At 40.0% G+C, this 13,168-nt stretch overlaps 1 protein-coding gene and 1 long non-coding RNA gene across 5 annotated transcripts in view; both read left to right on the top strand.

Annotated features, from left to right (window-relative positions):
• Positions 1–1,861, top strand: part of LMNTD1 (lamin tail domain containing 1) — a 172,497-nt gene extending 170,636 nt beyond the window's left edge. For all 4 annotated transcript variants that reach the window (XM_011520575.2, NM_001256266.1, NM_152590.3 and 1 more), the window contains one exon: positions 1,483–1,861. The gene's annotated coding sequence lies outside the window, so the exon portion shown is untranslated. The remainder of the gene's footprint in view (positions 1–1,482) is intronic.
• Positions 1,862–7,450: 5,589 nt separating this feature from the next.
• Positions 7,451–11,995, top strand: LOC124902900 (uncharacterized). The gene is made up of 3 exons (XR_007063247.1): positions 7,451–7,799; positions 10,114–10,437; positions 11,857–11,995. It is a non-coding gene; the product is annotated as an uncharacterized LOC124902900 (long non-coding RNA).
• The last annotated feature ends 1,173 nt before the right edge of the window (positions 11,996–13,168 follow it).

The following is a 13,168-nucleotide window of genomic DNA, read 5'->3' as shown; positions in this document are numbered from 1 at the left end:
CTCCAAGTTCTTCAGTTTTGGAACTCAGACTGGCTTTCCTTGCTTGTCAGCCTCCAGACAGCCTATATTGTGGGACCTTGTGATCGTGTGACTTAAAACTTAATAAGTTTTAATAATAATAAGAGTCCTACCACTCTTGCTTCCAAATCCCTGCATATATATGTATATATATGGTATCCCTTACTATTACCATGCCCTGTGATAAAGGTCAATGGGAAACTACAATAGCCCAATCCAGGCAGAACTACAAATCACCCAGGCCCTTCAGGAATGAAAGTTTGGGTCACTCCACCAGGAAAAAAACAAATCTTTGTTCTTCCATCCCAGCTGGCTCCTTATGCTGGTGGCATCCCTCAAGACAGCTTTTCCAAACTTGTCTACTTTTCTCCTGACTTTAATCTCATCCCTGATCTCTTACTCTTAACCAGTAACTTACCTTTCAATTTTTCTTCCTTCCAACTATTATCCTCCATCTTCACCATCCTCTCCTTTCTCTCAGGGGAAAGAGTCACTTTCTACGGTTGCTTTCTACGACCGATTTTATCCCCACCAATCCCCACTAGAACAATGTTCTATTGACTCTTTTCCTCTTATTTCTTCACTTTCTCTCTCTCTCCCTCTCTCTGTCGCCTTTTTCCCCTGAAGTCAAAGATGTCCCCAGCTCCTTCGTATGTTAAAATAAACTTTCTGTCAGCCCCAATTTCCCTTCAAGATGTCTTTACCATCTTATTCTCTCTTCATTGACAAACTTCTTTTAAAAAATAATAATAATGTAATAGTTCTCCATAGAAAAGCTGTCAGTTTCCTCTCAGAAAAACGTTCATATAGCCTACATTCAAATGTCTCATCTGCTTTCAGGAGGTTAATGGATTCCGTGAGGCCCATGTGTTGATTCTCCAAGGGTCTGGGGATGGGCACAGAGGGAATATGGGTCACGCTGCCTCAGGAAACTCACCTTGGTGTGGTGATAATGGCCCTGGATTACCCTGGCCATGGCAGTAGCTGCACCTCGGCTATCTATTCGATTTGTCCTGGAGACCCTGGGAGATTTTAAAAAATTATTTCTGTAAATAATTCCAACAACATAAACACTGAGGACATTATTCCATTAGTCAGTTATCCAGGGCTGCTTTCAGTCAGGAGTTCTGCCCAGTGTGCTCATAGATGACTTTCCAACATGGTTTAAATATCCACATTAAAAAAACTCTAGAAGTCAAGGTCAAAACTGGGGAAAATCATAGAAATCCTTTAGTCTAGAGCTCTCAGTTCTACCAATTCAACCCAAGCATCCATGCAACCTTTGGTCAGTTTCAATCTCTTTCTTCTTTGATTTCTTTATCTGTAAAATGAAGAGAGTAAGCACATGTACCTCATAGAACTATGGTATGGATTAAATTAATTGAGACAGTAGTGTAAAGAATTTAGCATAGTCTGACACATAGAGCTCAATAACAGATCACTCTCATTTTGTATAATTACTAGTAATCTAGTCCACCCTCAACCAGCTACTAGAAAAGCAAAAGAGAACTCAAATCCCTGAGGCCTGCTCTGCAACCTCCCTGCTATTCCATGAGAGGGTGAAGACATCACATTTCTATATGGAAAAAGGATCCAAAATTTGTATTGCTGTAGAATTGGTGAATTATAGATGCTTGATGAAATCACAAGTCCTACCACTCCTGCCTTCCAAATCCCTGCAGAAAACAAGCAGATGGTTAGTATTATTCAATGGATAAAATTGCTATTTGCCTTAGATTTCTCTTTTTGTAAACAAAGTTATTTTGGGTACAGAACTCACAAAAGAAGAGCACGTGCAATTGTTTAACCATTTTACATTGACTGATAAATCTCTTTTTTCCATAACTGTGCCACATTTCATTAAATATTCAGTGGAGGTTTTGATTCCATTATGGGATCCGGATCCATGCATATTCCCAAAGCTGGAGTAAGTAATGTTGTTCCCTGATTTTTTCAGATTGTTCTCAACCTACATGCTCATTTTTACTTAAAGGGTAACACGATTTTATTATTGTTTTTGTTCTTCTTGTTGTTATAAGTACACCAAACAAATTATATAAGAAATGAATAGTACAGAATTCCCAAGCCAGTTTAGAGAAAATATTCAAAAATTGTTTTCTGGATATATATACAGTGAGAGCTATATTTCAAATAAATTTAAATGTTTTGTTTTTTTTTTAAGTTTTTACAATGTGAGAACACTATATAATACTAATAAATAATAGTCATTTGCTAAATATTTTAAAAATCCAGTAAGAGCTATTTAAACTTAGATTTCTTTTCTCCTACTAGATTTAAAAATCCATTACAATGTAATCTAGTTAATACTCCTTCCTTCAGAAAGGACCATATTTAACACCAACTTAGCCAGATATATATTTTTTAATTAATAAAAGTCCGCAGAGGTGGTTCTATTGTCTTTCTTTGCCTCACTGGCAAAAGCAAAACCAATCTACAAACAAAAACACATTGTCTCTTCATGCTCCTAATCAAAGTAAGGTATTTCTTTTCCCTTCACTTATCTTTTGTATTTTGAAAGAGCATGGCACTAAGGAAGGTGCCCCTACAGGAGTAATCTAGAGTTCCTTATGCCAGGTAAGGCCTAACACCTGGTATTTCTCAGATACAGTTATATCTCTGCAGCCTTCTGTGTCTTTCTCTGGTATCCATCACATTGCTACACAGCATTGGCCCAACACCCCTGAGCAAAATCCAGAATTTTCCTGGGGCCTTGAAAGATGTGGCAAACATTTTTAATGCCTACTTCTACCAATTTTCCCATTCCTCAATATAGCTGCAATTCATATGGGGTGGCCATATTTCCCAATAAAATTCTGGCCCGTGAGATGTAAATGGAAGTACATGTGACTTTCAGGAAATCTTTCTAGACAGAGGTGGCATGCCCTTCTTTCTTCCCTCCTGCTTCTAGCTTGTAACATGAATATGCTGTCAGCTAGATCATTAACAACCATGCCGAGCCACAAAATGGCCACAGAAATGGAAGCCATGTGCTTAAGATGACAGATAAGAAAGATAAAAGCTTGTATCTCTGATATTACCTTTAAGATATCATATTATATCCCTAGACTGCTTAAGAAACATACATTTCTGTTGTGTTTAAACCAGTTATTTTTTTGTTTGCTCCATATTGACGTTTTGTCATGTGGAGCTGAGCTTAACCCTGAGACACGGAGATCACCTGCAAGTTACAGAGAATGGGGAGAAACAGCAGTGAGTTAATACTCATTCATTATGTGCTTATAAAGACAAGACCAGAATTAGAACACACACATGGGGAAATAACAGTTTCGAATGAAACTTTAAGATATAGTTATAGGCCAGGCACGGTGGCTCACGCCTGTAATCCCAGCATTTTGGGAGGCCGAGGTGAGTGGATTGCCTGAGGTCAGGAGTTTGAGATCAGCCTGGCTAACATGGTGAAACCCCATCTCTATTAAAAATACACACAAAAAAATTTAGCTGGGCGTGGTGGTGGGTGGCTGTAATCCCAGATACTCGGGGGGCTGAGGCAGGAGAATCGCTTGAACCCGGGAGGCAGAGGTTGCACTCCAGCATGGGCAACAAGAGCGAAACTCCGTCTCAAAAAAAAAAAAAGATACAGTTATAACGTATTATGAATTGGTTTAAGAATTTCCTATCATGAAAAGATCACTGAGATTATAGACAATAAGGAAAGCAGAAAACTACATTATACATTTGTCTTCTCAACTAAAGAAGCTCCACCCATAAATGTAATTGTATTGCCACTTAATACTTTCTCAGTCCCTTAATCGTGTGTTTGTGGGTTTCTACCACTATTTCAAATGTAAAAAAGATCATGATTAATCAATAATATGTATGCTAATTATATTTTATTATTATAGAAAAAATAGTATTGCTGTAATGTGGCTCCTAGTTCTAAGAAAATATTTTGCTGTTTGTTCTACATTTTCTCCTTCAATAAAAGTAGTTGAATTCTTTTTATAATAATATAAAGGATAAAAATTATTTTAAAAATGCATAAGTTTATAGTAGCATTATCTGTGATAGAAAAAGATTGAGAATAGCTAAATGGTCTGACAACAGAATAGAGGATGTGTGGTGTGTTCATATGTTGGAACACTCTACAGTAATGAAAATGAACAGCTGCACACAAATACATAGATGAATGACAGTATAATGCTAAAGAAGATTTTTAAAGTATATACTGTCTGGATCCATTTATATAAGCTCGAAATAAGCAAAATGAATTTGTTGTGTTAGTAATTAGAATAGGAGTCTCCTTCCTGGGAAGCAGTGATCAGAAGGCAAGATGGGGCCTCTGAGGAACTGTGAATGTCCTGTCTTATCATCTTGTGCTCGCTTTGTAAAATGACAAGTTTGCTTTATCAAAATTCACCTAGCCATTCATTCATGATTTAGTACTTTCATGTATGTACAATATTCTTCAGTAAGAAGTCCACTTTGGAGCTGGATGTGGTGGTTCACACCTGTAATGCCAGCACTTTGAGAGGCTGAAGAGGGAGAATTGCTTGATACCAGGGGTTTGACGCCAGCCTGGGCAACAAGGTGAGGCTTTGCCTCAACAAAAACTAAAAAAAAGTTAGCCAAGCATGGTTAGTCTCAGCTACTCAGGAGGCTAAGGTGGGAGGGGCTTGAGCCCAGGAGGTCAAGACTGCAGTGAGCTGTGTTTGAGCCACTGCACTCCAGCCTGGGTGAAAAAGCAAGACGATGTCTCAAAAAAAAACCACCGAAGTTTACTTGGAAAAAAGAAAATTTAAAAACAAAACACCACCTGATTCTGATTTTCCTATCCTTGCTTCTTAAATCCAGTTGAGAGGTTAGAATGTTCCTCACCTGCTATAGTCCAAATGTGTCCCTCAGAATTCATGTGTTGGAAATTTAATCCCCAATACAACAGAGTTGGCAAATGGGGCCTAATGGTGGGTGTTTAGGTGATGAGGGCTCTGCGCTCATGAATTGAGTAAAAACATTATTTTAAAAAGCTTTTGAAAATGGGTTTGCTCTCTTGCACTCTCACATTTTTGCCTTCCACTATGTTCTGATGCAGCAAGAAGGCCCTGGCCAGATGCTGACACCTTAGTATTAGACTTTCCAACCTTCAGAACTATAAGCCAATAAATTTCTGTTAATTATAAATTATCTAGTCCCAGGTATTCTGTTATACCAGCACAAAACAGACTAAGACACCATCTTACCCTACAGCCAGTACCAGGATTTTGAATGACAGAATGATGACCTCATCATCCTTTGTTTTTGCTGGCCAGTTCCATATTTTGAATGAAAATCACCTGGCTCCTGTGAGTTCTTTTGTATCCTCTCTAACTTATCCTTCAGTATCAAATTTGAAGGATTGTTTTGAGGGGGTCTGAAATTCTCAGTTTTTGCTCTATCTTGTTTCTCCTTTTTCCATTTGCTCCCATTGACACACATGGAGTCTCAATTGTACTTTCATCCCAGTCAGCAGCTGCCCTAAACAAGAAGACATGCCCCATCATTAGTGGTGCCAGGTGCTGGCTTTAGCAGAACATATTCTAAATGTAACTGATCAATGGCTTATATATTATCCTAACAGTCCATTGCACTTGGAGTTCTCACTTTAGAGTAGCTCCCCTAGAGGGGTTTAAAAAAAATTATACATACAGCTCTGTTATAACTGTGGCTTTTAAAGGTCTTTTTTAATTGTAAGTGTTCTCTGGACCCTTACTACATTTTTAATAATTGACAACAGAATTCTAAAAGCCTCCACATCCATGCTCAGGGGACCTTGTAATCAAAGGACATAATCTAATCCGTGACAGCATCTCTTAGGAGCCTCAGGAGGCCTGAAGATGCTGGCATGGTGCTAAAAAGAAGAGATCAGCAGTATCAGAGCTGATAGTGCTGATCTTCTTCAGGGAATAAGAGAGGACTTTGGCCTACAAAGGGGGTGCCCTTATCCTCACATAAATTCCTCTGCTGATAAAACAAATGACAGAGCAAAAGGTATGGTTGATAATGGTTGGTATTGTGGCATAGAGAGTGATTTGAAAACCTCTCTTGACCTTGGAATCCTTTCTGCAAGTATCCGTTAGGTAGAAGGGACTGGTCTGGTTGAATAAGAGGCAGGTAAGGAGCCTTACCATCTGAGCTTCTCGCCTCCCATCAACACCTTCTCCTCTCCTCCCATCAACATCAGATGGGATCTGCTGGGTCACTTGGACAGCACTGCACTGAATCTTTGCCCTCATACAACGATACAGTTCGTAGGCCATAGGGACGAGCCATCCCAAATCTAACCCTTCAATGGATGCCAGACTGGTGTATAATAATCACTTAGGGAGTTGGTGAACATTCGGATTGCCAGACCTGATAAAAGTCAGCTGCTGGTCCTAGGAATCTGTTTTTAATAAGATCCTCAGGTAATTCTGATGTACAGACAAGCCTGAGAACCATGGTCATGGCATGGACAAAAACCTATACTTACGTTTCTGCAAGTGAGAACCAAGGACCGTCTGCATCCGAGTCACCTGCATGTCTGAGATGTGCACATTAGGACATGGAAGGCTTCATTGAGAAGTGGAACACTGGGGGCTGCTCTGGCTGAATTGAACAAGAGTTCAGGCCTTCACCCTATTGAAGTAGGAAGATTTGGAAATATTTCCATATGCATCAAAATTCATATCCACAGCTTCTCTTACAGAATCTCTGAACTTAAAGCAGGACCAATGGCACTTCTGGGAGACTCACCAATGTCTATGCACCATTTCCTTATTGTCTTCTCTCCTCCCCCTCAACAAGAATCCTTTATCAAGACTTAAGGTTCAAAATATCAGCTCAAACTGATTCATGTTCTTCCAAATCCCTTGGCTTATTTTCTACATCTGCTCTTTTTTTCTACATCTGCTAATGTCTCCTTTTCCCAAGGCATGAAGGTGGAAAATCCTACATGCTTGAGGTGAAGAAAGGGCCTTGGGGTACAAGTAAATTCAGAGGAGATACACACCAGTGCTGGTAATGTTTTGTTTCTTAAGCCGGGTATTAGGCACACAAGTGTGTTCAGCTTACAGAAACACATTTAGTATACTTGTGATTTATGTACTTTTCTGTCTATATACGATACTTCAATAAAATGCATAATAAAAAGTTATTAATATCTCAAAATGGTATTGTGCTCATCGATCAATTGGTAGATCAATAGAGACAAAGATAAGAATACAGAAAAAAATCTGAACAAAATTTGTTAATGGGGTACGGTGGATCCCGCCTGTAATCCCAGCACTTTGGGAAGTGGAGGCAGGCAGATCGCTTGAGCCCAGGAGTTTGAGACCAGCCTGGGCAATAAGGCAAAACCCCGTCTCTACAAAAAAAAAAAAAAAAAAAAAAAAGAGAATTAGCTGGGCATGGTGGTGCGCGCCTGTAGTCCCAGCTACTCTGGAGGTGGAAGCGGGAGGATAGCTTGAGCCGGGACACCATTTTATCAAGACCATTTTAAGTCAAGAAAAACAGTTCTTAAAGTTTCTCTTCTAAACGAGGTCAATAATTTATAGCAAAAGAAATTTCCCAATCATGTTGCCTGGTGATGATCCTCCAGAGGGCTTCCAGTAGTGAATTTTGAGCATTATCTTTTGTCCTAACTTTGTGATTGTGAAGTTAATTTGCACAGGAACAGTTTCCATCTCTGGATATGTCTGTATACACTTGGTGGAGCCAAAAGAAAATTTCAAAGAACTTAGAAGGAACAGAATGCTTTTCAGAGATGCTTGCAAAGTCAGAACTCTGTAAGTATTTATATAAGAAACCACTTAATGTCTACTTGACTGATGGGTACTCAAATTGCAATAAGACAGCTGCTGAATAGAAAGTAAAGTGTTTTTAAAGATGAAAGAAACAATACTCCTCTTCTAAGGTCAGTGTTGTACAACTCACATGCCAAGAAATCACGAGGTCCTCCTGAATGCCATTTCCAAGGCTGCTTAAGAGAAATTGGAAGCCAGCGGGACTGTCTTTGGTGCTCAACCAATTTCCCTCTCAGATTTCCTCCTTCCCCATCCCCATCCTTTCTCTCACACCACCCTATCCCCAACCACAAACACCCTTTAGTTTCCCATCCTTGTTACCTTTGTTGTCCTCAGCTGGATGACATTAAATTTGATGTTTTCAGCAAATATACATAAAGCAGCTACTCTGAGGGATTAACTGAAGATAGTTAAACATGGCCCCTGTGTCCTTCCCTTTGTAACGGGGAATTCTGGAAATAGAGAGGTTTTTAGATAGGTGGTAGGATGGATATTTCTGGGCAGAAACAAGCCATCACTGACTCATCTCAGTGTTGTACTGGGAGGCATGTTACTCTAGGAAACATGATCCATCCCTTTCTCCCTTGATTTTTTTCAGTTCACCCTAAGGCCAGGTACCCACAGTTTGGGAAAGACTTTCTCTGGTATCTCCTTAGCTAATAGGCTCGGTGAGGTGGCCTCTTGAGACAGTGGCTTCTCAGCGAACGGGTAAGAAATGTGCCCGCAGACCGTCACCACCACATCTGGCCCTCTCTGCTAACAAACAAATGAATTTGCAAGGGCTTAGCATGCCCTCTGCCCTCCAAGACCAGGCTGCTGCCTCCTGATCAACGGCCCAGCATTGAGCATGTGAACACTATCGCTGAGTGAGCGCTGTACCCTGTACCCTAAACCACATTTGTATGGCCCTTCAGTGTAATGAGTCATGCTGACTGCTTGGAGTAATGGGTGCTTAACCTTTCTGTGCCTCAGTTTCCTCATCTGTAAAATAGGAAGAACAATAGTGCCTATCATACAGCATTAGTATGAAGATTAAATAAAATGGGTAAAGTGCTAACATGATGCCTTGCAAATAATACATGCTGGCTCTTTAAACACCCAAACCCATTCTTATCAAAGGCTTCTCTACATGATAATGGTGAGAACTCCGGGTCTCATGCCTTGTTAGTATTTGTATTAGGATCTACTCAAATGCTGTTCATCGAGGTGTCATAACTACCATTTATAAGTGCTCATTACATGCCAGGCACACTTTACATGCACTGTTTGCTTTCATCCTCATGACCATCCTCTGAAGTTTGTACTAGTTCTCTCCATTTTACAAAAACTGAGGCGCAGGAAGTTTAAGTAAATGCCGAAGGTTACTCAGCTACTAAACGGCCGGCAATCTGGCTCCACAGTCCTTGTCTTAGCCCCTGTGCTAGCCCAAATACTGCACTGCCTACCCTGTGCCGTGGGCCAGAAAACACAACACACCTCTGTGGTCTGAGAGATGACCTAGCTGTAACAGGTACTGATCCAAGCTTGTGCTCAAATCATGGCCCAGTGATGAAATGTGTAACATTTTGAGTGCTTTAAAAATTTCAAATATTTTTAACATCTGTGAACACTTCCCATGAATAGTCAGGAATAAAATTAGTGTAGCTTTTTTTTGCTAATGTTTTTAGCAATTAGTGTGTACTAGGAATTGGGTGACGTGCTTTACATTGATTCTGTCACTTCGTTTTCACAAGAACTTCAATGAGATGGGTACTGTGACTCCACCCATTTTATAGATGGGGCCCAGAGAAGTTAAGTAACAACCAGTGACACCGTCTGTCTTGTAGGGTTTTATGGGGACTAAATGGGTTAACACGTGGAAGCAAGTACTTAGCATAGAGCCTGGTGTATTATTTGTATGGTTCCCAGACTGTTCGATGAATATTAGTAGAATTCTCTCTCATTATCTTAGGAAAGACCATTCTTAGTCAAGGTGAAAGAAGATCTTTGCCAGCTGAGACAATTACACATCTTACCAGCTAGCAGGAAAACTATAAATTCAGCTACCTATGAAAAGTTCCCAGATTCATCTAAAATTCTCCTTTTAACTGAAAGTATTCAATCAAATGTGTCTAAAACTAGGAATTTTATGAGGAAATACACTATAGACAGAAACATCATATTTTTTAATTTAATTATATTCTTATTATTTATATATGTGGTAAAAATTATATTTTATACCCCTAAATAGATCAGTTCCAATAGGACAGATGCTGTACTGATACTTCTGTTTTTCCCTCCCTTTTCTCACCCAAAGACTCTGGCTCCGTCCCTCCTACCTACTAGCTCTTCAAGACAACCAGACCATTGCTTCTGGTTCTATTTTGGGATGTAACAGTGGATTCCAATATTCCTATTGGGAGCCTTGACCAAAGAGGTCATTAAACAAGCAAGGTTTCTTCTTCCCAATTACCGGCCACATCTCACAGCATAATTTGGATATATAATGGGGTTTAAAGACTCCTTCCCCTGATGGGTGCGAATGAAGAGAAGAATAGAGTGAAGAGGAAGAGCATCCTGTCTGCCAAACTTCAGGTTATCCTCTCCCAACATATGGCAAAGCCAGAGCAAGAGAAACCAGGTCTCACTTCTTATTCCCTCCTCCCTGATCTCTTATAGGAACCTATCTTTAAACCTCCAGAGTTTTCAAAGTATTAGCAAGCACATTTTTAAATGCCATATTTCTTCCTCCCATTCCTCCCCTTCACACTCTTTAACCTAAATTTCGTGTTCAATGGAGTGAATCTGGAGGCACTGCCTTGACATTTCACTATAAGAACTGAAAGACTGGGAGCGGCAATGCAAGTAGGAGGCATAGTGGGTTTGAATGGGTTTCTATTCATCCTATCAGTGACAGAGAGATTCCCCCTTAGGGTTAGGAAGATGGCCAAACACACGACACTAAGCATTGGACAGATGAGACCAACAGCAGTTCATTAGTCACATATACCCCAGCCTAGGGGAGGAGGACACAGCACACCATTCAGGGCCACACAGGGGTTGCAATCGGGAACAGAATGAATAACCAGGGGCTGTGAGAGGCAGGCTTTGTAGTGTCAAGAGGGTGTGGTGCCTCCTGGTTCCCACAGGAGGATGTAATTGGCTTGTTTGAAAAACTGCTTAGGAGGAAATTAAAACCCACTACTCAGGGTTAAATAGGAACTGCACCTGGTCCCCTCAAAAAGGAGGGTTGTTTGGCTGGGGGGATGTCATCTGTGAGAGGAGAGTAGGGAGGAGAACTTGCAGTTAGGCCATTCAAGGCCTTCCCAATTTTACCAGATGTCAAGACAGCACATACTATTAACTTTAGGCCTCACATTATAAAAGGTGAGTACAAAGGAGAGTGTGTGAGAAATAGTTTTTGGCACACACAACTAGATGAGAAAGAACAGGTAGAAAACTTGAGAGACAAGGTCTATCATGCAAGCTCAGATGTTCTTCTTGAAAACCAGAAATAGAGGTGGTGTTTAAGAGACCTCCATACAAGCAAAGCTCTGTTGTCAAGTCTCCAAATATTCCAATTTTAGCCAGTTATTTTTTTATTATTCTGGAAGATTCTGTGGACTTTCATTTGCTTTATGACAATGCTGATTAATTATTTGGGGGAAATAAATTGTTAGGATTATATAAGATACATATATAAAAAGCACATGAATGACAAAATCTCTGTATCAATGTATGGTTATTATTTCAGCACACCAAGAACGGCAAGAACTCCCATTTTCACTGAGAACTTACCGTGTGCTTTGCGTACACCCCCTCTCCTTTAACTTTCATGCCTACCTTACAAGGTACATGTCATTCTAGGAAGGGAAAAGATGCAGGATCAGAGAGTTGCTGTGGCAGGGCGGGAATTTTTAACCCAACCCTACATAGATCTCAGTAGAGTTTTTTGAAGCTTTAATAGTGTCTAGTCTGGTGAATAAAAAATAATACCGTATCTTCAACTTCACAGTAAAGTTAAGGACACCAGTTATTTATTTATTTTGTTATTCAACAGATAATGTTTGACTACCTACTATGTGCCAAGCGTTGACCCTAGTGATGAGAAATCCAAACCCTTAATGTTTCAAAGAATCACATGAAAGTATAGACATTCACCATGGCCATACTGCCCAAGGTAATTTATAGATTCAATGCCATCCCCATCAAGCTACCAATGACTTTCTTCACAGAATTGGAAAAAACTACTTTAAAGTTCATATGGAACCAAAAAAGAGCCCGCATTGCCAAGTCAATCCTAAGTCAAAAGAACAAAGCTGGAGGCATCACACTACCTGACTTCAGACTATACTACAAAGCTACAGTAACCAAAACAGCATGATACTGGTACCAAAACAGAGATATAGACCAATGGAACAGAACAGAGCCCTTAGAATCTACAATGAACTCAAACAAATTTGCAAGAAAAAAACAAACAGCCCCATCAAAAAGTGGGTGAAGGATATGAACAGACACTTCTCAAAAGAAGACATTTATGCAGCCAAAAGACACATGAAAACATGCTCATCATCACTGGCCATCAGAGAAATGCAAATCAAAACCGCAGTGAGATACCATCTCACACCAGTTAGAATGGTAATCATTAAAAAGTCAGGAAACAACAGATGCTGGAGAGGATGTGGAGAAATAGGAACACTTTTACACTGTTGGTGGGACCGTAAACTAGTTCAACCATTGTGGAAGTCAGTGTGGTGATTCCTCAGGGATCTAGAACTAGAAATACCATTTGACCCAGCAATCCCATTACTGGGTATATACCCAAAGGATTATAAATCATGCTGCTATAATGACACACGCACACGTATGTTTATTGCGGCACTATTCACAACAGCAAAGACTTGGAACCAACCCAAATGTCCAACAATGATACACTGGATTAAGAAAATGTGGCACATATACACCATGGAATACTATGCAGCCATAAAAAATGATGAGTTCATGTCCTTTGTTGGGACATGGGTGAAGCTGGAAACCATCATTCTCAGCAAACTATCGCAAGGACAAAAAACCAAACACCGCATGTTCTCACTCATAGGTGGGAATTGAACAATGAGAACACATGGACACAGGAAGGGGAACATCACACACCGGGCCTGTTGTGGGGTGGGGGAAGGGGGGAGGGATAGCATTAGGAGATATACCTAATGTTAAATGACAAGTTAATGGGTGCAGCACACCAACATGGCACATGTATACATATGTAACTAACCTGCACATTGCTCACGTGTACCCTAAAACTTAAAGTATAATAAAAAAAAAGAAAAAAATCGCATCACAAGCCATACTATTTTTAAAATTAAAAAAAAAAA

Source organism: Homo sapiens, chromosome 12 (assembly GCF_000001405.40).
Source record: "Homo sapiens chromosome 12, GRCh38.p14 Primary Assembly".
Lineage (NCBI taxonomy): Eukaryota > Metazoa > Chordata > Mammalia > Primates > Hominidae > Homo > Homo sapiens.
Note: the sequence above shows the minus strand (reverse complement) of the source record. Positions and strands in the feature narration are given on the sequence as shown.